The sequence below is a fragment of the Homo sapiens genome, chromosome 19 (genome assembly GCF_000001405.40).
Source record: "Homo sapiens chromosome 19, GRCh38.p14 Primary Assembly".
NCBI classification, from domain to species: Eukaryota; Metazoa; Chordata; class Mammalia; order Primates; family Hominidae; genus Homo; species Homo sapiens.
Window position 1 is genome coordinate 7,534,034 of NC_000019.10, and position 27,734 is coordinate 7,561,767.

At 55.9% G+C, this 27,734-nt stretch overlaps 1 protein-coding gene across 5 annotated transcripts, besides 3 other annotated features; it reads left to right on the plus strand.

Annotated features, from left to right (window-relative positions):
• On the plus strand, positions 131-27,734 carry PNPLA6 (patatin like domain 6, lysophospholipase). Of its 5 annotated transcripts, none has more exons than NM_006702.5 (35): positions 131-206; positions 717-869; positions 1,476-1,544; positions 1,900-1,987; positions 2,158-2,240; positions 2,416-2,513; positions 5,885-6,025; positions 6,116-6,275; positions 6,597-6,677; positions 6,890-7,018; positions 7,321-7,401; positions 7,489-7,651; positions 7,951-8,034; positions 8,528-8,637; positions 8,728-8,895; positions 8,974-9,051; positions 15,874-16,079; positions 16,265-16,396; positions 16,484-16,607; positions 16,961-17,074; positions 17,329-17,404; positions 19,839-19,982; positions 20,176-20,239; positions 20,522-20,690; positions 20,860-21,042; positions 21,216-21,334; positions 21,574-21,730; positions 22,420-22,536; positions 22,622-22,691; positions 23,135-23,251; positions 24,817-25,118; positions 26,615-26,731; positions 26,981-27,077; positions 27,175-27,284; positions 27,455-27,731. In NM_006702.5, the coding sequence occupies exons 3-35, from the start codon at positions 1,518-1,520 to the stop codon at positions 27,527-27,529; spliced, it is 3,984 nt and encodes a 1,327-aa protein (NP_006693.3). In that variant the 5' UTR covers positions 131-206; positions 717-869; positions 1,476-1,517; the 3' UTR covers positions 27,530-27,731. The 5 variants fall into 5 exon arrangements, with proteins under 5 accessions (NP_006693.3, NP_001159584.1, NP_001159583.1 ...); NM_001166113.1 differs by lacking the exon at positions 131-206 and adding an exon at positions 1,094-1,169 and having other exon boundaries at positions 27,455-27,734; NM_001166112.2 differs by lacking the exons at positions 131-206; positions 8,974-9,051 and adding an exon at positions 209-413 and having other exon boundaries at positions 19,842-19,982.
• Positions 1,519-1,758: an enhancer, noted in NCBI's record as "active region_13887". NCBI's record gives its function as "activates an Ori minimal core promoter by ATAC-STARR-seq in GM12878 lymphoblastoid cells {active_cell/tissue: GM12878}" and the evidence as "EXISTENCE:reporter gene assay evidence [ECO:0000049][PMID:35858748]".
• Positions 15,924-16,615: an enhancer, noted in NCBI's record as "H3K27ac-H3K4me1 hESC enhancer chr19:7614843-7615534 (GRCh37/hg19 assembly coordinates)". NCBI's record gives its function as "activates a minimal SCP1, AML or CMV promoter by ChIP-STARR-seq in naive H9 embryonic stem cells {active_cell/tissue: H9 hESC(naive)}" and the evidence as "EXISTENCE:reporter gene assay evidence [ECO:0000049][PMID:30033119]".
• Positions 16,616-17,307: an enhancer, noted in NCBI's record as "H3K27ac-H3K4me1 hESC enhancer chr19:7615535-7616226 (GRCh37/hg19 assembly coordinates)". NCBI's record gives its function as "activates a minimal SCP1, AML or CMV promoter by ChIP-STARR-seq in primed H9 embryonic stem cells {active_cell/tissue: H9 hESC(primed)}" and the evidence as "EXISTENCE:reporter gene assay evidence [ECO:0000049][PMID:30033119]".

Here is a 27,734-nt window from a genome sequence, read left to right on the forward strand (position 1 = left end):
AGCGGTGTGAGGCCCTTTAAGGCGCGGCCACACTCAGCATGGCGGCCTCAGTCGGCCTTCCAAGCATGGCGCGGGGAGGAGGGGTGGGAGGGTCGGGAGGGACTGCGGTGCGACTAGGAGTGAATAATTTAAAGGGGCCGTGCCTGCGGAGCCGGGCGGAACGCTAGCGGTGTTGGCGCGGAGTGGACCCCGGCTGCGGCCCCTGGGTGAGTCTGGGTTTCCGTTAGCCTCGCAGGGGTGTCCCTTCGAGGGTCGTTAGCGAGCCTCCGCTTTCCCACGATCTGTCCTCCGATTCCTGTTAACTCTAGACTTTCTGATGTTCCCATACCCCCCACGTCTCGGCAGGTGTTTCCACACCGGTAGCCAGCTGTGCCCTGAGGTGGAAGAGGACCGGCCACCCAGGAATTTTCCAAGTAACGACTCGGAGTCTCCGGGATTCCTATCTCCCGGCCCCCGAATTTCCATTAATATTCTAGCGATGTCAGAAACATCCTCAGCTTCCCAGAAAAATCCCAGTAATATTCCAGCATCTCTCAGTATCTTCCAAGGAGCCCGGACGCCCTCCCCAGGCCCGCTCTCATAAGCACCCCAGGAATGTGCCCACCCACCTCCTGGTTTTCCCAGCAGTAGTATTGTAATCCTCAGAATCTCAGTAACTTTCCAGTGACCCCGCATCCCCACCCACTAATCCCAGCGTCTCTGGTTACGCCTCCCAGCAATGGCGCCACCATCGGTCCCGGAGTCCCAGTGATGCTCTGTGCCATAGAGCCCCCATAACTTCACTACTACGTGATAGTAAATCCCCGGCAAAAACCAGCAGCGCCTTGCAAGCCCACGCCACCCCAAGCATCCCAGGACTCTTCTGAAACGTGGGTATCAGACGCCTTCCGCGGATGCCCCGGCAGTACTCCCGTGCCTCCCAGCTCCTGGGTCTTCCCCGGGGCAGGCTTGCGTCGGGAGCCGAGTATCTAGGTGCCCACTCCCGGACCCCACGGTTTGCGGGCCCGTTTTCCTGGGGTGGGGCATTCAGTCTTCGACGGAGTAGGGGGTGCGGCCTGGGGGGTGGGGTGGTCAGGCTTGATCAACCCTGCAGAGGGCAGTGACCCGGGAGGAAGTCACCAGGTGCAGAGGACCGTGCCCTGTGGGGACCTGCCTGCAGGCTGCTGACAGTGGGTACCAGGTCGGCCTTTGGCCCCGGGGTGGGGTTGGACAGGCGGGCGTCTGGTAGGCCCTACGCGTAGGCGAAGGGAGCAGGAAGCCGGGGACCCGCCTCATCTCCTGGCCAGGGCCGAGAGGTCGGTTTGCTCCATCCCTTAGTCCCGCAGCGCCCCTCTAGCCTCGCCCCTGGCAGCTGGAGACGCTTCCCCCGCCACCCCAGAGGGCAGGGCTTGAGCTGGGGGCAGGGCTTGAGGCAGGGGAGAGGTGGGCCCAGATTGACGACTTGCACGGGTTCCTTCGACTCCTTGATTTCCCAGGACTCCGGGCTACCAGATCGGCCGTCCAGCTGGAATCAACCGATGGAGGCTCCGCTGCAAACTGGAATGGTAAGGGGTGGGGCGGAGACCGGGTAGGTGCCGGCGTGGGGCGCCAAGAGGACTACAACTCCCGGCGTGCTCAGCGCGCATTACGTGGTCTGGCGATAACGCGCTGCGTCCGCTCGGGCGGAACTACGTTTCCCGGCATGCACTGCGGGCCGCCGGGCCTCAGGGAAGAGTCGCGCCCCCGGGGAGGGAGCAGCACTGGCCCATTCTGCAGATGGGGACATCGAGTCACGGGCTGGCTACGAACTCCTCGGGGGCGAAGGTGGCGGAGAGGGATGGGTTCCAGGACGTCCTGGCGCCCGGGGAAGGCTCGGCGGGACGGATTTGCGGTGCGCAGCCAGTGCCGTTCGTCCCTCAGGTGCTTGGCGTGATGATCGGGGCCGGAGTGGCGGTGGTGGTCACGGCCGTGCTCATCCTCCTGGTGGTGCGGAGGCTGCGAGTGCCAAGTGAGCACCCGAGGGGCCCCTCTTGGGAGGCTGTATGGTGGGGGGCCCAAATGCCCGGGTCCCGAGGCGGCAGAGATGGGGATTTGCTGGCGTCTGTTCGCGGTACCCCAGCTCTGGCAGGGTGGAGTCTGCACAGAGCTCGGAGTGCCCCTGTCCCCACCTATCCCCAGAAACCCCAGCCCCGGATGGCCCCCGGTATCGGTTCCGGAAGAGGGACAAAGTGCTCTTCTATGGCCGGAAGATTATGCGGAAGGTGAGTCCGGGACCCCTGGGGTCCGCCCTGACCACACAGAGGCCGCGCCCCTTCCCTATTTACACTTCTTAGTGTCCGCCACCGCTCCTTCCTTGATGGAGACCCCCTGGATCCGTCTGCCTCTTCTCCAAGGTCTGAATTAGCAATTCACCCATCTCCGCCTTCATTCTCCCAGGTGTCACAATCCACCTCCTCCCTCGTGGATACCTCTGTCTCCGCCACCTCCCGGCCACGCATGAGGAAGAAACTGAAGATGCTCAACATTGCCAAGAAGTAAGGCTGTGCTGGGTGTGACCTGGTATTAGGGGTTATCTCAGGGGCCTTTTGAGTAATCAGCTTACACCAAAGTGTTGTGGAAGTCTTCCCATATTGGCTGCGCGCTGTGGCTCATGCCTGTAATTCCCAGCACTTTGGGAGGCTAAGGCGGGCAGATCACCTGAGATCAGGAGTTTGAGGCCAGCCTGGCCAACATGGCAAACCTCATCTGTACTAAAAATACAAAAATTAGCTGGGCGTGGTGGCATGGGCCTGTAATCCCAGCTACTCAGAAGGGTGAGACAGGAGAATCACTTGAATCTGGGAGGTGGAGGTTGCAGTGAGCTGAGATCATGCCACTGCACTCCAGCCTGGGCAATAGAGTGAGACTCTGTCTCAAAAAAAAAAAAAAAAAAAAAAAAAAGAAGAAGAAGAAGAAGAAAGTCTTCCTGTTTCAGAGAGACATCTCTGGACTCTCCTCTCAGAGCTCTTCCACACCAGACATGCTGTCTCTAGGGTATCTCTTCCCTGAGGGCTACCTCAGTGACCTTCTCCTTCCACTGGAGTATCTGAGCTATTTGTTCCCAAGTCAATATCTCAGAGGTCTTGCCATATACTTAGTGGGGGGGTCTACATCAGGGGTTTCCATGTAGGTTATTTCATGAGTCTCTTCACATGAGTGGTTTTCTTCCAGGGTACCTCACTGAGGTAATTGTGTTTCTACGATCTCCTAAAGGGGCTATCTCCAGCCTCCAGCCTCTCTTCTCCGGGGGTTATCTCAGGCATCTCTGTACATCAGAAGGCATCTTTCCTATGTTATGGACCTTGAAGTTCTTCCCACACTAAGGAGGCTGTCTCAGGAGTTTCTGTTCCCTAGGGGCTATCTTATGAATTTTCTTGCACTAGAAATATAGGAAGGATGCATCAGAGATCCCTGTTGGCAGCAAGGTCTGCGAGAAAGGCTCTCCAACTCTCTTTGCAAGTTGGGTGCTGGCTCTGGGATCCCTGTGCGTCATGTAGTCTACCTGGAGGTCTGCCTCAAGGGTTTCTTCACACCAGGGCAGGGCTCTCCATGATCAATAGTCCTGCAATGGCAGTCCTTTCTTTTTTGTTTGTTTGTTTGTTTGTTTTTGAGATGGAGTCTTGCTCTGTCACTAGGCTAGAGTGCACTGGCACGATCTCGGCTCACTGCAACCTCCACCTCCTCGGTTCAAAAGATTCTCCTGCCTCAGCCTCCCGAGTAGCTGGGACTACAGGCTCATACCACCATGCCCAGCTAATTTTTGCATTTTTAGTAGAGACGGGGTTTCACCATGTTGGCCAGGATGGTCTCGATCTCTTGACCTTGTGATCCGTCCGCCTCGGCCTCCTAAAGTGCTGGGATTACAGGCATGAGCGACTGAGCCCGGCCAATGGCAGGGCTTTCTGTGAGTTGAGTAGAAGGACTATCTCAAAGTTCCCCATGATCAGTTGAGGGTCTATACCTCAGGTTTCTCCACATCACAGGAGCTGTCTGTAGTGTTTGCACACTCTTAAGGGACTACCCTGATATCTTCATGATTGTCAGAGGGCTGTCTGAGCTTTCTGTGACCTAGGGAAGAGTTAGCCCAAGATCTCCCTGATCAAAAAAGGAATAATCATAACAATTATAATTATTATTATTATTTTGGAGACAGGATCACACTTTGTTGTTGAGGCTAGAGTGCAGTGGCACAATCACAGCTCACTGCAGCCTTTACCTCCTGGGCTCAAGAGATCTCTCCTGCCTCAGCCTCTTAAGTAGCTGAGACCATGGGCATGCACCACCATGCCTGGCTAATTTTTAAATTTTTTTGTAGAGATGGGAGTCTCACTGTGTTGCCTGGGCTAGTCTTGAACTCCTGGCCTCAAGCAATCCTCCCACCTCGGCCTCCCAAAGTGCTGGTATTACAGGCATGAGCCACCACGCCCAGCCAAAAAAGGAATTATATCTGAATTTCTTGATTTCACTGAGTTTAACTCAGGGTCCCATCCTCCAAGGTCTATCTCAGGGATCTTTTGCCAGCGGAGGGTCTTTCTCAGCAATCACTGTGACTTGTGGGGAAGGGCTCTCCCAGGTCCACGATTAGCAGAGGGGCTATCTGGATTCTCCACTTATAATGAGGGCTACTTCAGGGACCTCTGTGGCTGTCAGAGGGGCTGTCTCAAGGTTCTCTGAGACTGGGAGGAAGGTCTATCTCAGGAATGTTTATGTAGAACAGAGAGACTGTATCTGCGGTCTTCTCATATATTGGAAGCTATGTCAAAGGCATACTCACGTTAAGGGGACTATCTCAGGAATCTACTCTGTGACTACTGGAAGGACCGTTTCAGGACCCCCATGATAAACACAGGTACCATTTCTGGGCCTACCCTTATCTTGGAAGCTATGTCAGGGGTCTGCCTTCCTAAAGGGTTCAGCTCAGGGGCCTATGCCTAGTGGAGGGGCCATCTCAGAGAACTTTAGGTCTGGGGTCATAGGGTTTTTCCATAAAGGGCCAGATAGTAAATGTTTCAGGCTTTGCTGGCCACATATGGTCCCCATTGCAACTCTTCAACTCTGCTGCATGGGAGCAGCCATAATGATATGCAAATACATGAATGTGGCTTTGTACCAATAAAACTTTATTTACCAAAATAAATGTGGCCAGCCGGGTGCAGTGGCTCACGCCTGTAATCCTAGCACTTTGGGAGGCTGAGGCGGGAGGATCACTTGAGTTCAGGAGTTTGAGACCAGCCTGGCCAACATGGGGAAACCTCATCTCTACTAAAAATACAAAAAATTAGCTGGGCGTGGTGGCACCCACCTGTAGTCCCAGCTACTTGGGAGGCCGAGGCAGGAGAATCGCTTTAGCCTGGGAGGTGGAGGTTGCAGTGGGCCGAGATTTCGCCACTGCACTCCAGCCTGGGTAAAAGAGCGAGACTCCTGAGGCAGGGCACAGTGGCTCACACCTTTAATCCCAGCCTTTGGGAGGCCGAGTCGGGCGGATCACCTGAGGTCAGGAGTTCGAGACCAGCCTGCCCAACATGGAGAAACCCCATCTCTACTAAAAATGCAAAATTAGCTGGGCGTGGTGGCACATGCCTGTAATCCCAGCTACTAGGGAGGCTGAGGCAGGAGAATCGCTTGAACCCTGGAGGTGGAGGTTGCAGTGAGCCGAGATCGCACCATTGCACTCCAGCCTGGGAAACAAGAGCAAAACTTCGTCTCAAAAAAAAAAAAAAAAAAAAAAAGGTGGCCAGCCTGATTTGGCCAGCGGGCCAGAGTTTGCTGTACATGAGCCCTGGGGAAAGGGGTATGCGGGGGTCTTAGGTTTGCCTGAGCCTTCTCCGTGCCCCCCTCACCCCCGGCACCCCTCCCCTCCCACCAGGATCCTGCGCATCCAGAAAGAGACGCCCACGCTGCAGCGGAAGGAGCCCCCGCCCGCAGTGCTAGAAGCTGACCTGACCGAGGGCGACCTGGCTAACTCCCATCTGCCCTCTGAAGTGCTTTATATGCTCAAGAACGTCCGGTCAGTGTTGGGGTGCAGGTGGGGGTGGAGGGCTGCAGACGTGGGGCCGCCCTGACCTCCAGCCTCTGTCGCCCACCGCCTGTCCAACAGGGTGCTGGGCCACTTCGAGAAGCCACTCTTCCTGGAGCTCTGCCGCCACATGGTCTTCCAGCGGCTGGGCCAGGGTGACTACGTCTTCCGGCCGGGCCAGCCAGATGCCAGCATCTACGTGGTGCAGGACGGGCTGCTGGAGCTCTGTCTGCCAGGGCCTGTGAGTGGGCCTCCCCAGGGGCTGCTGCAGGAGGATGGGTGGTGGGGATGGGCAGCAGGCATTGGTCTGTAGAGCTGGTGGTCTTTGGAGATGCGTCATCGGGAGTCAGGGGAACGGGTGACCGAGGACATTTGGGGTAGTCTGCGTAGTTGCTCAGTAGTTACAAGTATTGAACGATGGGAGATGCCTGCTCGTTGGAAGGGTTGGTGGGTTCCCCTGAGAAGGGATGAGAAGTGTCAGTGATCATTGGGATGGATGAGGGGGCGACATGCCAGTCACCAGGGCGAGGCCACTGAGGGTCCACGGTCTCCTGTGTCTCAGGACGGGAAGGAGTGTGTGGTGAAGGAAGTGGTTCCTGGGGACAGCGTCAACAGCCTTCTCAGCATCCTGGATGTCATCACCGTGAGTGACCAGTTTCTGAGGCAGGGGGGCTGGGGTGCAAGGTCCCACCCAAGGGACTAGGTTGAAGGAAATCACAGGGTCCCCAATCTCTGGTTCATCCGTTATGCTGCCGATGGCCCCTCACGGGACTGGCGCCAGGAAGGATTAGGGGAGTAGCGAGGGGGACTCGCAGCCTCTGCCCTTGTCTCTCTTCACGCCCTCCCCTCCCCCAGGGTCACCAGCATCCCCAGCGGACCGTGTCTGCCCGGGCGGCCCGGGACTCCACGGTGCTGCGCCTGCCGGTGGAAGCATTCTCCGCGGTCTTCACCAAGTACCCGGAGAGCTTGGTGCGGGTCGTGCAGGTCAGTGGGCCTTCGCCTCCTGTCACCCCCTGAGGGACCCCACCCTGGCCCCCACCCATTCCAGGCTCCAAGGGACCGAGGCCCAGCAGCCAGCAGGCGCTGGAGCTGTGGTTATCGGCCTGGAGCAGCCAGATGTCTGCAGCCGCGGACTCCTCCCTTAGCTGCCTCGCCCCATTTCCCCAGACTGTGGGTCTCTCCCTGGTTCCCGCCCGACCCCTTATGCTGCGAACTAGCCCGGCCCACCATCTGGCCCTGCCCCTTACCCCGCCCCATCTTATGGCCACGCCCCTCGAGCCCTGCAGATCATCATGGTGCGGCTGCAGCGAGTCACCTTCCTGGCACTGCACAACTACCTGGGTCTGACCAATGAGCTCTTCAGCCACGTGAGTGGGTGGCGGGGAGCGAGCACAGGGGGGATGGGGGCGAGGTCTCCCTCCCAGGACAGGCCACAAGCTGTTCTCTGCCCCCAGGAGATCCAGCCCCTGCGTCTGTTCCCCAGCCCCGGCCTCCCAACTCGCACCAGCCCTGTGCGGGGCTCCAAGAGAATGGTCAGCACCTCAGCTACAGACGAGCCCAGGGAGACCCCAGGGCGGCCACCCGATCCCACCGGGGCCCCGCTGCCTGGACCTACAGGTACCCAGGGACCCGAGGCCAGCCGAGCCCAATCTCCCAGGAAGCCCCGTCTCAGCCGCCAGCCCCTTTTTCAGTTCTGCATAGAGTCAACCTGACCTTGTCCAGCCCCACAGGGACTCCATAGCGGGGTACCCAGGTCTGACTCCTATCTGGTACCGAGGAAGCTGTGGCCTCGTCCCCAAGGGCCCATTGGAATTGCTTTAACTAGTTAATCAGTCGCCAGCATCTCCTTATCTCCCAACCTGCTAATCCTCCTAGTGGCTCTGAGGGGCAGGAGCCTGAACATGTGTCTCCCCCAGGGGACCCTGTGAAGCCCACATCCCTGGAAACCCCCTCGGCCCCTCTGCTGAGCCGCTGCGTCTCCATGCCAGGGGACATCTCAGGTTTGGAGCACTGGGTCTGCGGGGAGGGCCATGGAGCTTCCAGGTTTGAATCCAGGTCCACCGCCTGCCTGTCTTGATTGTTTTAATCTGCGAAATGGGAACACTGCCAGTACTTCCCCAGGCACTGTTTTGTAGATATTCATTGAGATAGTGCTTCTCCCACCTGTTAAGAGGGATTCAGAGGGAGAGTGCAGGCGTTGATTAGTCATGTCTGCTACAGCAGTGGCCCATGGCACATTGGTATCCATTGGTCTCAGACTGCAACTGTGGTTACTCTCATCTTTTTCTTTTCTTTTGAGACCTGTCTCCCAGGCTAGAGTGCAGTGGTGCTGTCATAGCTCACTGCAGCCTCGAACTCCTATGCTCAAGTGATCCTCCAGCCCCAGCCTCCCAAATAGCTGGAACTACAGGCCTGCACCACTACACCTGGCTCATTTTTTAAAAATCTTACTCTCATCTTTATGGTTTTTGTTGCCCCCCTGCCTGCCTGCAGGCTTGCAGGGTGGCCCCCGCTCCGACTTCGACATGGCCTATGAGCGTGGCCGGATCTCCGTGTCCCTGCAGGAAGAGGCCTCCGGGGGGTCCCTGGCAGCCCCCGCTCGGGTAAGGCTTGGGACCCTGCCCGGTGGTGGAGCCCGCAGGGGAAGGTGGCTGGGAGGGAGCATCAGGAGGTCACAAGCCTGCCCCACTCAGACCCCCACTCAGGAGCCTCGTGAGCAGCCGGCAGGCGCCTGTGAATACAGCTACTGTGAGGATGAGTCGGCCACTGGTGGCTGCCCTTTCGGGCCCTACCAGGGCCGCCAGACCAGCAGCATCTTCGAGGCAGCAAAGCAGGAGCTGGCCAAGCTGATGCGGATTGAGGTGGGCAGCCGAGGGGAGCTGGGCACAGGGCGCAAGGGAGGCCTGGCTGCGCCCATCTCAACCCCCCTACCTCCCCAGGACCCCTCCCTCCTGAACAGCAGAGTCTTGCTGCACCACGCCAAAGCTGGCACCATCATTGCCCGCCAGGGAGACCAGGTGAGGCTGACCCCTGACCTGTAACCATGCCACCTGAGATCATTCCCTATGACTTCTGTGACCTCTGATCCCTGCCCTTTGACTGTAAGACCAGCACCTTCTCCCATAGAAGCAGACCTCTCTCATCCTATCATTTCCAACCTCTAACCCTTGGGTCCTGTGACCCCCACCCCCTAACCCCACCCTATGTCCTCTGGACCTGTCAACCCTTCACCTGTGACCCCTGAACCTTTTGCCCTAGGACTCCAACTCCTAGATCTCTCCTGCCTGCCCTGGCTCTTCCTGTAATTCTGTTTTCTGAACTTCTGATCCTGCAGTATTCACTAACATGTCTGCTTCTCATGCTGACCGCTGCCAGGATAGGGGCTCAATAAATGGCTACAAATCGCCATCTGGCCTCGGAAGGCCATGAACCAGCCCTGGGTCGGGGTTTCAGGGCCTTGTGGCGGCACCCAGGATGTGTAGGAAAATGTATCCTACCATTCTGTCCACTGTCCATATGGGGAAACTGAGGCCCATCAAGGGTTAGTGACCCGACTACCAGCTGAAAGTCAGGAAGCCTCAGGGTAGGAGGAGGAGGAGGAAGAAGAAGAGGAAAGTTGAAACCCACACTCTGTCCCCAGAGTGTGGCAGATGATCTAGAAAGTTCTCTGCTTCCTCATCAGTGGAATGAGGTAATAAAGAAGAGATGCCTAGTTCGCAGAACCCCAGTAAGACTTCTTTTTTTTCTTTTTTTTTTTTTTTGAGACGGAGTCTCGCTCTGTCACCCAGGCTGGAGTGCTGCAGTGGCGTGACGGTGGCTCACTGCAAGCTCCGCCTCCCGGGTTCACGCCATTCTCCTGCCTCAGCCTCCCGAGTAGCTGGGACTACAGGCGCCTGCCACCATGCCCGGCTAATTTTTTGTATTTTTACTAGAGAGGGGGTTTCACTGTGTTAGCCAGGGTGGTCTCGATCTCCTGACCTCGTGATCCGCCCGCCTAGGCCTTCCAAAGTGCTGGGATTACAGGCGTGAGCCACTGCGCCCGGCCTTTTTTTTTTTGTTTTGAGACAGAGTCTTGCTGTTGTCACCCAGGCTGGAGTGCAGTGGCACAATCTCAGCTCACTGCAACCTCCGCCTCCTGGGTTCAAGCAATTCTCCTGCCTCAGCCTCCCGAGTAGCTGGGATTACAGGGTTGTGCCACCACGCCTGGCTACTTTTTATATTTTTAGTAGAGATGGGGTTTTGCCATGTTGGCCAGCCTTGTCTCAAACTCCTGACCTCAGGTGATCCGCCTGCCTCGGCCTCCCAAAGAGCTGGGATTACAGGCATGAACCACTGTGCCCAGCCTACTGAGACATTTTTGATTGTTAGGATTTCACAGGGTGCTGTTCCTGACACCTGATGGGTAGAGATCAGGGATGCTCAAATGTACAGAGCAGCAGGCCGGAACCATACAGTCCATTATCCACAGTGTGGGGTTTGCAAGAGTGACAAGTGGTCAGGGAGGGTGTTTAGCAGCAGCTTATAGGGAGCGGGGGCTTGAGGTGACAGTGAGCTGTCATAGGCACTGGGACCCCAGCTCTGCCCCAGGCTTGGGGGAGAGAAGCCTGGGGCAGGGTTGGGGTGGGGTGGGAGCTGTGGTCCCACTGTTAGCCGGCTGGAGTGTTGCTGTGTCACTTGACCCAGTGACTCTGCTGTCCCCTTGAACCACCCATGGCAGGGATGGGCTCTTTTCTGGAGAGGAAGTCAAGGCTTTTGCCAGCTGTTCTTAGAATAGCTGAGGAAGTAAGGTTACCCTGTGGCTTCTTTGGGGGCCCCTGGGCCCTGCTTATCTGGGAGACTGCTGGCCACAACCCAGCCCTGGCCTGTCAGTGTACCACGCTGGTCTGCAGCCCCTCAGAGCTTCTCTGCGTTGGCAGGACTTTTGTTAGGGACCCTGTGCTCTCCTGTGCTTCTCCTTGAAACTTTTTTTTTTTTTCGGAGACGGAGTCTTGCTCTGTCGCCCAGGCTGGAGCGCAGCGGTGCGATCTTGGCTCACTGCAACCTCTGCCTCCCGGATTCAAGTGATTCTCCCACCTCAGCCTCCCTCGAAGCTGGGACTACAGTCACGTGCCACCACGCCTGGCTAATTTTTGTAGTTGCACTAGAGATGGGGTTTCACCATGTCGGCCAGGCTGGTCTCAAACTCCTGGCCTCAAGTGATCCACTCGCCTCAGCCTCCCAAAGTGCTGGGATTACAGGCGTGATCCTCGGCACCTGGCCACAGTCTGGAAATTCTGTCTTAGAAGGTTCCAGCATGTGTTTATATCTCCTGGGACTGTGCCTCACCCAGGGGTCCCTGCAGTGTTTTGGCAGGTGGAGCTTCACTGGGTACCAGACAGGTTGGTGTGGTGGATAAAGAAGGAATCTCTCCATTTCTGGGCGGTTTCAGTTCCTTATTTATAAAGGGATGGAACAGGAAGGTTTCTAGCTGGTCAGGCTACCCAAAGAAGAAAGAAACGTGTTTACCCAGCATTTGCCCCATCTCGAACTGTGTGCTGCTGGCTGGACAAGAGGCAGGAAAATGGCTGGGCACGGTGGCTCACGCCTGTAATCCCAGCACCTTGGGAGGCCGAGGTGAGAGGATCACTTGAGGTCAGGAGTTCGAGACCATCCTGGCCAACATGGTGAAACCCCATTTCTACTAAAAATTCAAAAATTAGTCAGGCACGATGGCGGGCGCCTCTAGTCCCAGCTACTCGGGAGCCTGAGGCAGGAGAATCACTTGAACCCAGGAGACAGGTTGCAGTGAGCTGAGATCGCACCCCTGCACTCCAGCCTGTGCAACAGAGTGAGACCCTGTCTCAAAAAAAAAAAAAAAAAAAAAGTGGGCAGGGAAAACCCTTAGTGGTCCCTGCCCTTGGGCAGCCCACCGTATTCTGAGAGACATGACTCAAAGGATTACACAAATTCTTGTAAAATCATAAGTGCTTAGTGTCACAAAGGAAATGATCTTGGCACTACAAAGTCTGGCTTAGACAGGGTGGCACCTCTAAGGGCATGACCTAAGAAGGAAGGAGGGGGAGGAACAAACTGGGTGCAGGTGGGAGGAAAGGTCATTCTAGGCAGAAGGAAGAGCTTGTGCAAATGTTGTGTGGTGGGAAGAAATAGGTTGATCTCTAAGAAATAAAAAAGGAAGTCAGTGGGCCTCAAGTGAAACAATATTTTTTGGGGGGGTGTAATGGTTTTATTGAGCTATAATTCATGTACTATACAATTTACCCATTTAAAGTATATACTTTAGGCTGGGCACAGTGGCTCACGCCTGTAATCCCAGCACTTTGGAAGGCCGCGGCGGGAGGATCTCTTGAGTCCAGGAGTTCGAGACCAGCCTGGGCATCATGGCAAAACCCAGTCTCTACAAAAAACAAACAAAAAAAATTAGCCAGGCATGGTGGCGCATGCCTGTAGTCCCAGCTACACGGGAAGCTGAGGCAGGCATAAGCCACTGCACCTGGCCATGCCCACCTAATTTTTGTATTTGTAGTAGAGACAGGGTTTCGCCATGTTGGCCAGGATGGTCTTGAACTCCTGACCTGAGGTGATCCGCCTGCCTCACCCTCCTAAAGTGCTGGAATTACAGGCATGAGCCACTGCACCCGGCCTTATGTAAGGGCTTCTGTGTAGACATATATTTTATTTATTTTTTTAAAGGTGGGGTCTCACTATGTTTCCCAGGCTGGTCTTAAACTCCTGGGCTCAAGTGATCCTCCCACCTTGGCCTCCCAAAGTGCTTGGACATATGTTTTCATTTCTCTTGGGTATATACCTAGGAGTTGAATTGCTGGGTTATAAGCCAATTCAATTTTTTTTTTTTTTAAGAGGGAGTCTCGCTATGTCGCCCAGGCTGGAGTGCAGTGGCGCGATCTCAGCTCACTGCAACCTCTGCCTCCTAGGTTCAAGCAGTTCTCCTGTCTCAGCCTCCTGAGTAGCTGGGATTACAGGCACACGCTGCCACGCCCAGCTAATTTTTGTATTTTTAGTAGAAACACGGTTTCACCATATTGGTCAGGCTGGTCTTGAACTCCTGACCTCAAGTGATCCATCCACCTCAGCTTCCCAAAGTGCTGGGATTACAGATGTGAGCCACCATGGCCAGCCTCTATTTTTAATTTTTTTAAGCACTGTGTGTTTGTTTGTTTCTTTGCTAGACTGTTTTCCAAAGCAGCGGCACCATTTTACATTTCCACTGACAGTGTATGTGAATTCCAGTCTCTCTACATTCTCTCTAACCCTTTGTAATTCTAGCCATCTTTGTGGGTGTGAAGTGTAGTATGTCATTGTGGTTTTGCTTTGCATTTCTCTAATGACTTGACGTTGAACAGCTTTTTATGTGCCTATTGGCCATTTGTATATCTTCTTTGGAGAAGTTTTTATTCAGATCTTTTGCCCATTTTACTCTTACTTTTTTTAGAGACGGGGGTCTCACTATGTTGCCCAGGCTGGTCTCCAACTCCTGGGCTGAAACTATCAAGCGATCCTTCTGCCTTGGCCTCCCAAAATGCTGGGATTGCAGGCGTGAGCCACCGCACTTGGCCTTTAATTTATTTTAGAGACGGGGTCTTGCACTGTAGCCTAGGCTGGAGTGTAGTGACGCTATCATAGCTCACTGCAACCTCAAACATCTAGGCTCAAGCAATCCTCCTGCCTCAGCCTCCAGAGTAGCCAGGACTATAGACACATGCTACCATGCCTGGCTAATTAAAAATTTTTTTTTTTTTTTTTTTTTTTTTTTTTTTTGTAGAGACAGGGTTTCACTATGTTGCCCAGGCTGGTCTTGAACTCCTGGGCTCAAGCGATCTTCACACCTAGGCCTCTCAAAGTTCTGGGATTACAGTTGTGGGCCACCACACCCAGCCCCTTCAGTATACTTTAAATCAGGGGTGTCCAATCTTTTGGCTTCCCTGGGCCACATTGGAAGAATTGTCTTGGACCACACATAAAATACACTAACAGTTATAGCTGGGCATAGTGGCACACACCTGTAATCCCAGCACTTTGAGAGGCCAAGGCGGTTGGATCACTGAGGTCAGGAGTTCAAGACCAGCCTGGCCAACATGGTGAAACCCCGTCTCTACTAAAAATACAAAAATTAGCCAGGCGTGTGGCAGGCACCTTTAATCTCAGCTACTTGGGAGGCTGAGGCAGGAGAATCACTTGAACTCTGGAGGCAGAGGTTGCAGTGAGCCGAGTTTGTATCACTGCACTCCAGCCTGGGCAACAGAGCAAGACACCGTCTCAAAACCAACAAACCAAAAAACCCCACTAAAGATAGCTGATGAGCTAAAAGAAAAAAAATCGCAAAAAAAAAAAAAAAATCTCATAATGTTTTAACAAAGTTTATGAATTTGTGTTGGGCCAAATTCGAAGCCATCCTGGGCCACGTGCAGCCCGTGGGCAGCAGGGTGGACAAGCTTGCTTTAAATCATCTCGAGATTACTTATAATACCTAATACAATGTAAATGCTATGTAAATAGTCATTATACTGTATTATTTAGGGAAAAACGGGGAAAATAGTCTGTAAATGGTCTGCGCAGGTGCAATTTTTTTTTCCTGAATATTTTAGATCCAAGGTTGGTTGAATCCTGGGTATATGGAACATATATATATATATACACACACATATATATACACACATATATATATAGAGAGAGAGATGCTGCTCATCTATATATAATCTATGTAAAAAAATTTTTCTTTTTTTTTTTTTTTTTTTGAGACGGAGTCTCGCTCAGTCGCCCAGGCTGGAGTGCAGTGGCGCGATCTCGGCTCACTGCAAGCTCCTCCTCCCGGGTTCACGCCATTTTCCTGCCTCAGACTCCCAAGTAGCTGGGACTACAGGCGCCCGCCACCACGCCTGGCTAATTTTTTGTACTTTTAGTAGAGACGTGGTTTCACCGTGTTAGCCAGGATGGTCTCGATCTCCTGACCTCGTGATCCGCCTGCCTCAGGCCTCCCAAAGTGTTGGGATTACAGGCATGAGCCATCGCGCCCGGCTAAAAAATATTTTTATATTTATTTATATTTATATATAGATGGTGCTTATATCCAAAGTCTTTATTCTCTCCTTCATGTTTCTTTTTTTTCTTTTTTTTTTTTTGAGACGGAGTCTCGCTCTGTCGCCCACGCTGGAGTGCAGTGGCGCGATCTTGGCTCATTGCAAGCTCCGCCTCCCGGTTTCACGCCATTCTCCTGCCTCAGCCTCCCAAGTAGCTGGGACTACAGGCGCCCGCCACCACACCCGGCTAATTTTTTGTATTTTCAGTAGAGACGGGGTTTCACTGTATTAGCCAGGATGGTCTCGATCTCCTGACCTCTTGATCCGCCTGCCTCGGCCTCCCAAAGTTCTGGGATTACAGGCGTGAGCCACCGCGCCTGGCCTTCTTCTTCTTTTTTTTTTTAAAGACAGTGTCTCACTCTGTCGCCCAGGCTGGAGTGCAATGGCATGATCTCAGCTCACTGCAACCTCAGCCTTCCAGGTTCAGGCAATTCTCTTGCCTCAGCTTCCTGAGTAGCTGGAATTACAGACATGTGCCACGACGCCCAGCTAATTTTTTTATTTTAGTAGAGACAGGTTTCGCCACGTTGGCCAGGCTGGTGCCGAACTCCTGGCCTCAAGTGATCCCCCCTGCCTGGCCTCCCAAAGCGCTGGGATTACAGCCGTGAGCCACCGCGCCCTGCGCCTTCATATTTTTCTTAACCCTTCCTTTCTTCTTTAATTTTTTCCTGTGGGGGCATGTTGACCTGAGCTGGGGTCCACGCTGTCCGGGTTCTGTGTTCATCACATCCCCTGCCCGCACAGGACGTGAGCCTGCACTTCGTGCTCTGGGGCTGCCTGCACGTGTACCAGCGCATGATCGACAAGGCGGAGGACGTGTGCCTGTTCGTAGCGCAGCCCGGGGAACTGGTGGGGCAGCTGGCGGTGCTCACTGGCGAACCTCTCATCTTCACACTGCGAGCCCAACGCGACTGCACCTTCCTGCGGATCTCCAAGTCCGACTTCTATGAGTATGACAGCCCGAAGTTGGAGTGTGGGTGGCACTCGGAGGACCCCAACCCGTGGGAGTGGCCAGAACCCCATCCCTCAACCTCACTCCTGGAAGAGCAGAAGGGAGCCCCCAGATCTGGCCTCCCAGCGCCGGTGTAGGACGGTTTTGAGGCCTTCCTCTTTCATCCCAAGTCTGTTCCTGCAGGATCATGCGCGCACAGCCCAGTGTGGTGCTGAGTGCGGCGCACACGGTGGCAGCCAGGATGTCGCCCTTCGTGCGCCAGATGGACTTCGCCATCGACTGGACTGCAGTGGAGGCGGGACGCGCGCTGTACAGGTGCAGCTCCCACCGCGCTGCTCAGGCCCGGCCTAGGGGTGGGGACCTGGGGGTGGTCAGACCTTGCTGACCTCCACGCCCACTCAGGCAGGGCGACCGCTCCGACTGCACTTACATCGTGCTCAATGGGCGGCTGCGTAGCGTGATCCAGCGAGGCAGTGGCAAGAAGGAGCTGGTGGGCGAGTACGGCCGCGGCGACCTCATCGGCGTGGTGAGCGCGACCCCCACCCACTGACCTCTGGCCTTTTCCAGGCCAGTCCCTCGACAACTCACACACATCATCCCGGGTAATCCAGGGAGTGGTGAATGCAGCTCCCGACCTCTGAGGTCACCCAGTCCACTCCCCGCCCAGACCTCATTTCGTTGGAAAAAGGGGATTCCGCCTGTCGTGGATCCCTGTCCTCTCCCTCTCCCCAGAGCTCTAATGGGTAGCGAGCGAGGCTTGCTTCCCTACACCCCCATTGCAGGGGAGCCCTAGATGGGGCAGTACAGCCCCCTTTCCACCCATCTTCGGCCTCCTCATTCCCCACCCAAGCAGCCCCAATCATGCACGCGGCCCCCCAGGTGGAGGCACTGACCCGGCAGCCGCGAGCCACGACGGTGCACGCGGTGCGCGACACGGAGCTGGCCAAGCTTCCCGAGGGCACCTTGGGTCACATCAAACGCCGGTACCCGCAGGTGCGGCCTGTTGTGGGCGGGGCAGAGAGGCGGAGGCGGGACTCCGGGGGGGTGGGGGCCGGGCCTAGTGTGTGGGCGGGGCTTACAGAGGGGCGGGGTCGAGGGAGGGGCCGAAGCGAGAGAGTGAGGGCGGGGGCTCTCGGGGGTGGGACCCAGGTAACGGGCACCCAGGAGCCCCGGCATAGGAGGGAGAGGTGGGACCTGGACAGCCGCTTCCCAGGTCTCACTGAAATGCCGGCCTCCAACGCCCCCAGGTCGTGACCCGCCTTATCCACCTACTGAGCCAGAAAATTCTAGGGAATTTGCAGCAGCTGCAAGGACCCTTCCCAGGTGAGAGCCGGCCGGCCCAGAGCGTGCTGGGAGATGTAGTCCGGCGTCCAGAGCATGCTGGGAGGGAAGCCTTCTTTCCTGAGGGATGCTGGGAAATGGAGTTCCGCGAAGAAATCGTGCCCCTGAGGGTTTCAAACCCTAAGTAGGACCCAGGTGCAGAGCATTCTGGGGAATGGAGTTCGTGTTCCTGAGCATGCTGGGAAACGAAGTCCTCGACCCCTGGCGTGCTAGTTAATGGGCTCGAAAGTAAATCAGTGGTGCCGGGGAGGGAGTCTTAGGCGGTGGACTTGGCGTAGTCTGCCCGGGAGTCAGGGCTTGCTGGGGAAGTCCACGGCCTGGACGTTGAGAGAAAGGGAGTCCTAGATCAGAATATGATGGCAGGGCCGTCATGGTGGCTCATGCCTGTAATCTCAGCACTTTGGGAGGCTGAGGCAGGAGGATCGCTTGAGCCCAGGAGATTGAGTTTGAAACCAGCCTGGGCAACATAGTAGGACCCCCGTCTCTACAAAAATTTCAAACATTAGCTGGGCTTGGTGACACATGCCTGTAGTCTCAGCCACTCAGGAGGCTGAGGCGGGAGGATTGATTGCTTGAGCCCGGAGGTCGAGGCTGCAGTGAGCCGTGATCGTGCCACTGTACTCCAGCCGGGATGACAGAGCTAGAACCTGTTTCAGAAAAAATAAAACAGCAAACAAACAAAACTCCCCATACCATGATGGAAAATAGTCTGTGGATTGTTGTTTAGGACTCTGGGCACCTCGCCTTCTGAAGTTACAGCTTGCTGGGAGATGTAGCCCCCTGTTTCAGCCTGTGGCTTCAGTGAGCTAGAACAGAATGGGGCGTGCGGTGGGGTTGGAGGCCTGCTGAAATGAGGGCCTGAGTTTCTACATTGTGGTGGCCAGATTCTGGGCCAGCCCAGCAACCTAGATACCCCTTTTCCCTCCAGGGGTTCTACCCAATTGGCCCTGAGCCCTAGATCCCCCAAGGCGGGGGCAGGGCGGTAGTGGCAGAAAAGACATCATTAAGAAATTACAGAGGCCTGGGGCGGTGGGTCACGCCTGTAATCTCAGCACTTTGTGAGGCTGAGGCAGGTGAATCACTTGAGGTCAGGGGTTCGAGACCAGCCTGGCCAACGTGGTGAAACTCATCTCTACTAAAAGTACAAAAATTAGTCGGGTGTGGTGGTGGGTGCCTGTAATCCCAGCTACTTGGACGGCTGAGGCAGGAGAATCGCTTGAACCGGGGAGGCAGAGGTTGCAGTGAGCCGAGCCTACGCCATTGCACTCCAGCCTGGGCAACCAGAGCAAAACTCCATCTCAAAAAAAAAAAAAGAAAGAAAAAAAAAAAGAAAAGAAAAGGAAAGAAATTACAGATAGAGAATACAATATCTAGAAGACAAAAGAGGGTCATCTTGCCGTGTGGCTGAAAGAGGGAGGGAGGAAGGGAGGGAGAAAGAGGCTTTTCTAAGGACAGTGAGCTGAGACTTGACAACTAAGATGGGGCCAGACATGAAAGAGAAACCAGGGGTGCTGCACAGGAGGCTGGTGGTTTTGAAGCACTGAGGAGGAAAGCGATCAAGGGGAGAGGTGATGGGGGTTGGGGGGTAAGTCACATAGGGGCTAGGGGCTGTGGACAGGCACTTGAGCTTATTTAGATTGTTATTGTTAGATTGGGGAGGAAGGATTCCACCAGTAAGGAGGCAACAAGAGGTCTAGGCAAGATATGGGAGTTGACAGCTGGTCTAGGCTGTTAGTGGAGAAACTGGGAAGCAACAGCTGGGTCAAAAGTAGCTTTTCTTTTCTTGTCTTTGTCTTTTCTTTTATTTTCTTTTTAAGACAGGGTCTCGCTCTGTAGCCCAGGCTGGAGTGCAGTGGCACGATCTCGGCTCACTGCAACCTCTGCCTCCCAGGTTCAAGTGATTCTCCTGCCTCAGCCTCCCAAGTAGCTGGGATTACAGGTGTATGCCACCATGCCTGGCTAATTGTTGTGTATTTTTAGTAGAGCAGTGTTTCTCCATGTTGGCTAGGCTAAAAATAGCTTTATTTCTGCCTCGTTTTATGTTCAGGTCCCCCATTAGACAGAGGAACCAAGGCCAGAATGAGGCAGGGGCACTGGCCAATTGATCTCCCAAGCACAGTGAATCTGAATGGTTGTAGAGTTGTGTAATGGATCCCACTGAGGTGATCAGGGCCCAAAGTGGAGGGTAGATGGCCAGGTTTTAACAAAAGAGGGAATAGTAGTTGAGGCTGAGGGTCCAGGACCAGAGCCATGGCTTTCTGTATGGTAGAGTCAAGACTTTGGGCAACTGGGGGCTGCAGTCTGGGAGCACAGGAGCAAGAATTTCAGATAAGGAGGAAGAGGAAGAAGAGGAGGAGGAGGGTTCATCTCTCTGGACACAGGTTCGCACCACAAATCTCATCCATTGGGTTCTTAGCAGGCTCTGGGTTGGGTGTGCCCCCACACTCGGAACTCACCAACCCAGCCAGCAACCTGGCAACTGTGGCAATCCTGCCTGTGTGTGCTGAGGTCCCCATGGTGGCCTTCACGCTGGAGCTGCAGCACGCCCTGCAGGCCATCGGTCAGTGGGGTGAGGGTCATGGGTGGGGGCTGGCGGTGGGTGGGACATTAGTGAGTGAGAGATGTTAGGGTAGGTCATTTGGGGGGTGGAGGGGAACAGGGCCACAGGGGCGGGGTAATGGGTATTCTTTTCTGAGTTAGGCCCCAGCCCTGTGGACCATGGTTCCCAGCCTCCCTTCCCCACCTACCCCTAGGTCCGACGCTACTCCTTAACAGTGACATCATCCGGGCACGCCTGGGGGCCTCCGCACTGGATAGGTGTGTGTTGCAGAAGGGAGTGGGGAGGGTGGTGGGTGGGCCTGGAGCCTCAAATTCTTTCAGACCTGAGTTCAAGTTCTTGGCTTCCAACCACGGAGCCTGCGTCTTACCCATAGGTCAATGGGGAGATTCGCAGTGGTGTGAATCTGCCCACCGGAGCACGGACTTCCGTGGTGGGGGTTTGGGTGTCTAAGTTCCTCCCAGCAACGGAGCTATGTGGTCTCGGGGAGCACACTGACCCCAGGCCAACCCCAGGATGACGCTGCCCCCTTCCCACCCTAGCATCCAAGAGTTCCGGCTGTCAGGGTGGCTGGCCCAGCAGGAGGATGCACACCGTATCGTACTCTACCAGACGGACGCCTCGCTGACGCCCTGGACCGTGCGCTGCCTGCGACAGGCCGACTGCATCCTCATTGTGGGCCTGGGGGACCAGGAGCCTACCCTCGGCCAGGTCGGAAGCCCGTGCCCCCTGATCTCACCCACCTCGGGTCCCGTCCTTTGCCCTCCCGTGCCTGCACCAGGCCACGTGCACCCTCGCCATGGGGGTAGGCGATCAGGGACCCAGGTGTGGCCAGGTGGTGGTGGGGCGGCTGGTGACCTCAGCCGTCCGTATTCCGCAGCTGGAGCAGATGCTGGAGAACACGGCTGTGCGCGCCCTTAAGCAGCTAGTCCTGCTCCACCGAGAGGAGGGCGCGGGCCCCACGCGCACCGTGGAGTGGCTAAATATGCGCAGCTGGTGCTCGGGGCACCTGCACCTGCGCTGTCCGCGCCGCCTCTTTTCGCGCCGCAGCCCTGCCAAGCTGGTGAGGAGCGGGCCGGCCCCCACCTTCTAGGGGCGTGGCTGGTGGGCGAGGCTTGGGAGACTGGGGCGGGGCCTGGGAGGGCTGAGGACAGGCTCGAAGGTCAGGGTACCCCTGGGGGATCCGCCGGACCCCGCCCTCATGCTCCTGGGTCGCGACTATCTCCCCCATCCCAGCATGAGCTCTACGAGAAGGTTTTCTCCAGGCGCGCGGACCGGCACAGCGACTTCTCCCGCTTGGCGAGGGTGCTCACGGGGAACACCATTGCCCTTGTGCTAGGCGGGGGCGGGGCCAGGTGAGGGCGGGGCTTGCTCTCTGGGGGCGGGGCCTGGATGTCCGAGGGTGGAGCTTCCTGGGAGAAACCGTGGGGGCGGGGCCTGGGTGTTCGAGGGTGGAGCTTCCCCTCCGGGAGAGACCCCGTGGGTAGGGGCGGGTCCTTTGTTCCTTAGCAGTGCGGGAGGTGGGAGGAGGTAGGGGCAGGGGAGTTCCTGCAGGTGGGGCCTAGCGGGTCACTGGGGCCCATTTTCCCGGCAGGGGCTGCTCGCACATCGGAGTACTAAAGGCATTAGAGGAGGCGGGGGTCCCCGTGGACCTGGTGGGCGGCACGTCCATTGGCTCTTTCATCGGAGCGTTGTACGCGGAGGAGCGCAGCGCCAGCCGCACGAAGCAGCGGGCCCGGGAGTGGGCCAAGGTGTGTGTTGCGAGGAGGGATTGCTGCACCCCAGGAGTGCCATAAAACCCGTGGTTCCAACCTAACCTGATCCCATGGGGGAGCCTCCGGGGTCAGGGTGACCCTTCCTGATTAAATCTATGATCCCCAGCTGTCCGGACTTTTATAGATAAGCTTCTAGGACTCTGGGTAACCACTTTGGGACCTCCTGTCTACTGACCCTAACCCATAACCCCCAACGAGAGCACCCAGGGCCCTTGGTGACCACCTTGTGGATGGCCTTGGATGACCACATCATCCCTAAGTGTTCCTTTTTTTTTTTTTTTTTTTTTTTTTTTGAGACTGAGTCTTGCTCTGTCGCCCAGGCTGGAGTGCAGTGGCACAATCTCGGCTCACTGCAACCTCCACCTCCCAGGTTCAAGTGATTTATCCGCCTCAGCCTCATGAGTAGCTGGGATTACAGGCACGCCCCACCAGCCCGGCAAATTTTTTTGTATTTTAGTAGAGATGGGGTTTCACCATGTTGGCTAGGCTGCTTTTGAACTCCTGGCCTCAAGTGATCTGCCCGCCTTGGCCTCCAAAGTGCTGGGATTACCAGTGTGAGCCGCTGCACCTGGCCCCTAAGTGCTGCTTGCTCACCCCCTATTGATGAACCTTATCTGTGACCCCATGTAACTCCTATTTGACCCTGTCTGGCCCCTTGTCCCTAGAGCATGACTTCGGTGCTGGAACCTGTGTTGGACCTCACGTACCCAGTCACCTCCATGTTCACTGGGTCTGCCTTTAACCGCAGCATCCATCGGGTCTTCCAGGATAAGCAGATTGAGGTAGGCCCACCTCATCCCCTGCCCTGCCTACCCCTCCCCGGAGGAGCCCCCTGCTCCTCCCCCACCTCGATCCCTGTCCCCGCAGGACCTGTGGCTGCCTTACTTCAACGTGACCACAGATATCACCGCCTCAGCCATGCGAGTCCACAAAGATGGTGGGTGTCCCCGCCCAGCCTGCAGCAACCGCTGACGCCACGTGGGGTTGGGGGGATGCTTCCGGGAGGGCCGCTGAGCTTCTGGGACGTTGTTAACACGAGTGACCGTCCACCCTGGCCCGATCACCGACCACTAACCGCCACCCACTAATGCCCCGGAGACCCCAGGTACGTCCGTCCTTGGGGGAGGGGAGCAGGGAGACTCGTCGGACGCCTTACCCCCCTCACGCCATCCCCGCAGGCTGTGTGTGGCGTTACGTCCGGGCCAGCGCCTCCTACTGCCCCTACCTGCCCCCACTGTGCGACCCCAAGGACGGGCACCTGCTGGTGGACGGGTGCTACGTTAACAACGTCCCAGGTCAGCGAGCCCATCGGGCCGGCTGGGCCTCCGGCGTGTCTGAGCGTGTCTGTGCGTGTTTGTGTCTGTGTGTCCCACCGCGCAGGCTCCCTGTGGCGGTACGTGCGCGCCAGCATGACGCTGTCGGGCTACCTGCCCCCGCTGTGCGACCCCAAGGACGGGCACCTACTCATGGATGGCGGCTACATCAACAATCTGCCAGGCAAGTGGCCGCCCGCACCACCCGCACACGCAAGCACCTCCCGCACCACACACACGCACACGCGTGGGCACACACAGACAGGCTCGATGACGGGACACATGCCCAAGCTGCCCATGCAGGGGTGCAGACACACATGCGCACACATACGATCACTTGCACAAAATGATACATGAATGTGCCTGTGGACAGCGACATGTGCAGTTGAGATCTACATTCTGGCCAGGCGCGGTGGCTCAGCCTGGAATCCCAGCACTTTGGGAGGCCTGAGGTGGGTGGATCACCTGAGGTCAGGAGTTTGAGACCCGCCTGGCCAACATGGTGAAACCCCGTCTCTACTAAAAATACAAAAAATTAACCAGGCTGGTGGGGTGTGCCTGTAATCCCAGCTACTCAGGAGGCTGAGGCAGATAAATCACTTGAACCTGGGAGTTGGAGGTTGCAGTGAGCTGAGATCATGCTACTGCACTCCAGCCTGGGCGACAGAGCAAGACTCAGTCTCAAAAAAAAAAAAAAAGAAAGAAAGAAATCTACATCTACCTGCTGGCGTGCTGTGTTAAGCACAAGTGGATGTACGTACAAGAGGGACAGGTGCACACGTCCACACACACATCAGGGGACATGCAGGTGGAATGCAACACTCGTGTGCACACCAGCTATATATGCACATGCTTTCTCTCAGGGGCAGGTAGGGCTTACACACACGTGTACACACAGGCACATGTGCACAGATGAACACGTGTGTCAGTGAAATAGGGCATTTGCCAACGCATGCCAGTCTGTCCCGTTTGTCCTGCACGTTCCCTCAAACACGCAGGGATGTGCACACACGTAGATAGGATGCGGCACCTCTGACCGAGTTAAGTCATGCCTACCACCTTTATGGGTGCAGGTGAGAAGCGGGCAGGTACACAACTTAAAATCTCACACCCCAGAAGTGTGCATATATGAACAGACATGTACGCCAACTGCACACATGCTCACAATCTTGTAGGCCAGGGGTGGGCAAACTATGGCCCACAGGCTGAGTCCTGCCCTCTGTTTGATTGTATAAATAAAGCTTTATTGAGCTGGGCACAGTGGCTCATGCCTGTAATCCCAGCACTTTGGGAGGCTGAGGCGGGTGGATCACTTGAGGTCAGGAATTCGAGGCCAGCCTGGCCAACATGGTGAAACCCGGTTTCTACTAAAAATACAAAAATTAGCTGGGCGTGGTGGTGTATGCCTCTAATCCCAGCTACTTGAGAGGCTGAGGCAAGAGAGTTGCTTGAACCCGGGAGGTGGAGGTTGCATCGAGCCCAGATCGTGCCATTGCACTCCAGCCTGGGCGACAGAGTGAGACTCTGTCTCAGAAAATAAAACAAAACCTCCCAACACCTGACCCCCCTCCTCAACTTCAGTTGCATCATTTGCACGTCTGTGCATGACAGCATGGTGTTTGCATGTGTGGGTATTCTCTCTTTTTTTTTTGCGTGATCATTTGCATGATGGCATCTGTGGGACTGGGTTGAACATCTCTGCCCCGGGCCCCCGAGGGGAGCAGCCCGCTGACCCCCCTGGCCCCACAGCGGACATCGCCCGCAGCATGGGTGCCAAAACGGTCATCGCCATTGACGTGGGGAGCCAGGATGAGACGGACCTCAGCACCTACGGGGACAGCCTGTCCGGCTGGTGGCTGCTGTGGAAGCGGCTGAATCCCTGGGCTGACAAGGTAAAGGTTCCAGACATGGCTGAAATCCAGTCCCGCCTGGCCTACGTGTCCTGTGTGCGGCAGCTAGAGGTTGTCAAGTCCAGCTCCTACTGCGAGTACCTGCGCCCGCCCATCGACTGCTTCAAGACCATGGACTTTGGGAAGTTCGACCAGATCTATGTGAGTGGGCAGGAGTGGCATGGTGCCTGCATAGGTGGTCCGGCTAAGCTTTGCTACTTAAAGCCCAGAGTGGTATGAGGGGGAGGAATCCAGGAGGAATCCAGGAATCCCATCTGGAATCTCTGGAAAACAGATCAGTGATCAATTGGTGATGTCTGCAGGGGATGTAGTAGGGGTGTGGCTGTGCATGTGCTGTGTAAGAACTTTCTCCTTATAGGCCAGCTGCACCCCTGGAAGCACTGTATAGTGATTTCTACTGCCATTTCTGCATTGGTGGGAATGAGAATAGTGATGAAGCAGAAATGTCTGCCACAGTTCCAGGAGAGGGAGGTAGCAGTGCGTGTGTTATGTGCTACTGACCCTGAAAAATGTGCCATAGCCCAAGCCAATTGAAATTGATCAGGGGGCCAGGCATGGTGGCTCATGCTTGTAATCCCAGCACCTTGGGAAGCTGAGGTGGGAGGATTGCTTGAAACCAGGAGTTCAAGACCAGCCTGTGCAACATAGCAAAACCCCATCTCTACAAAGATTAAAAATAAAAAATTAGCTGGGTGTGGTTGTGCATGCCTGTCACCCCAGCTACTTAGGGGGCTGAGGTGGGAGGACCGCTCGAGCCCAGGAGTTTGAAGCTGCAGTGAGCTATGATTGCGTCACTGCACTCCAGCCTGGGTGACAGAGCAAAACTCTGTCTCTAAGAAAAAGAAAGGGCCAGGCATGGTGGCTCATGCATTTAATCCCAGCATTTTGGGAGGCCGAGGTGGGCAGATCACTTGAAGTCAGGAGTTCAAGACCAGCCTGGTCAACATGGTGAAACCTCATCTCTACTAAATATACAAAAATTAGCTGGGTGTGGTGGCACATGCCTATAGTCCCAGCTACTTGAGAGGCTGCAGCAGGAGAAATCGCTTGAACCTAGGAGGCAGTGGTTGCAGTGAGCCAAGATTGTGCCACTGCACTCCAGCCTGGGTGACAGAGTGAGACTCTGTCTCAAAAAATAATATTAATTTTAAAAATTAAAGATAAAAATAATAAAAATTTTTTTAAAAAGAAAGAAATTGATCAGTAGCTGCAGCCCAGAAGCCCTGAGTCTGAGAAGAGATGTGTGATGTCCCTTGTGGGCTCACTGGGATAGCATGCCATGAGAAATTCAAGATGTTTGCTGTGGGCTTGGGGATGGCGACATCCACAGATGTACTGCCTGTTTGCAGACTTCAAAATAAGCTCACACATCACCACCTTGTGTTATTTGCTACCCAGCACCCTGCATGGGGCTGTGTGGGAAAGAACATGGAGAGATTGATTGGTAATGTCTGTCAAGGGCAGGACAGGGGATGTGTAGGCGAGTGTGCTATGTGCAGCTGACTCTGAAATAGGTTTAGTCTCAAATGCAACTCCCCCAGAGAATCAGGCTTTTGAGGGGCCAGAGAATGGGCAGACAGAGTGGGGACAAGCAAAGCAGGGTTGCAGACATGGACCCAGCCCCTCATTTCCCACAGGATGTGGGCTACCAGTACGGGAAGGCGGTGTTTGGAGGCTGGAGCCGTGGCAACGTCATTGAGAAAATGCTCACAGACCGGCGGTCTACAGACCTTAATGAGAGCCGCCGTGCAGACGTAAGCCTGTGATGCCCCCAGGGCCACTCTGACTCCACTGATTACAGAACCCAAGCCCCCTTAAAGTCTCCCCGAAACCTCAGATGACCCCACATGTCCCTGGGTTTTGCTGAGCTCTCAGACCTCTGCTGACTTCAGAGAGTTCCCACCCTAGGATCTCCTCTGAGCCCCCAATGCACCACTGGGCCCCCCAGGGGCCCCAAGACTCTGTGGGCCCCCCCTAAGAGCCTCACCAGTGTCACCCCACAGGTGCTTGCCTTCCCAAGCTCTGGCTTCACTGACTTGGCAGAGATTGTGTCCCGGATTGAGCCCCCCACGAGCTATGTCTCTGATGGCTGTGCTGACGGTGAGGGGCCCAGGGGACCCCCCAAGAGGGAGGGGAGTGGCTGGAGATGGCAGGCCAGCCCCAATCCCCTCACCTGTGCCCTGCTCCCCGATTCCAGGAGAGGAGTCAGATTGTCTGACAGAGTATGAGGAGGACGCCGGACCCGACTGCTCGAGGGATGAAGGGGGGTCCCCCGAGGGCGCAAGCCCCAGCACTGCCTCCGAGATGGTGAGAGTGGGTGGCCCAGGGTCCCCTCACATCCCCCAGAGGGTCATGAGTACAGTGTCAGGCAGGGGAGCCGGGGGCGTATTTGAGATCCTGTGTGTGCTGGGTGCTGGCTGACATGTGACGCATCAGTGTCCCGTGCTGGGTGACGTGTGTGTGACCTTCCCTCGCAGGAGGAGGAGAAGTCGATTCTCCGGCAACGACGCTGTCTGCCCCAGGAGCCGCCCGGCTCAGCCACAGATGCCTGAGGACCTCGACAGGGGTCACCCCCTCCCTCCCACCCCTGGACTGGGCTGGGGGTGGCCCCGTGGGGGTAGCTCACTCCCCCTCCTGCTGCTATGCCTGTGACCCCCGCGGCCCACACACTGGACTGACCTGCCCTGAGCGGGGATGCAGTGTTGCACTGATGACTTGACCAGCCCCTCCCCCAATAAACTCGCCTCTTGGAAATGG

Bases quoted from the DNA above. Each gene is read 5' to 3' on its own strand.
- PNPLA6 (NM_001166111.2), top strand. From the start codon at position 1,518: ATGGAGGCTCCGCTGCAAACTGGAATG. The intron at 8,035-8,527 runs GTTTGGAGCACT...GCCTGCCTGCAG, and splicing joins CATGCCAGGGGACATCTCAG to GCTTGCAGGGTGGCCCCCGC. The intron at 25,119-26,614 runs GTGAGTGGGCAG...CATTTCCCACAG, and splicing joins GGAAGTTCGACCAGATCTAT to GATGTGGGCTACCAGTACGG.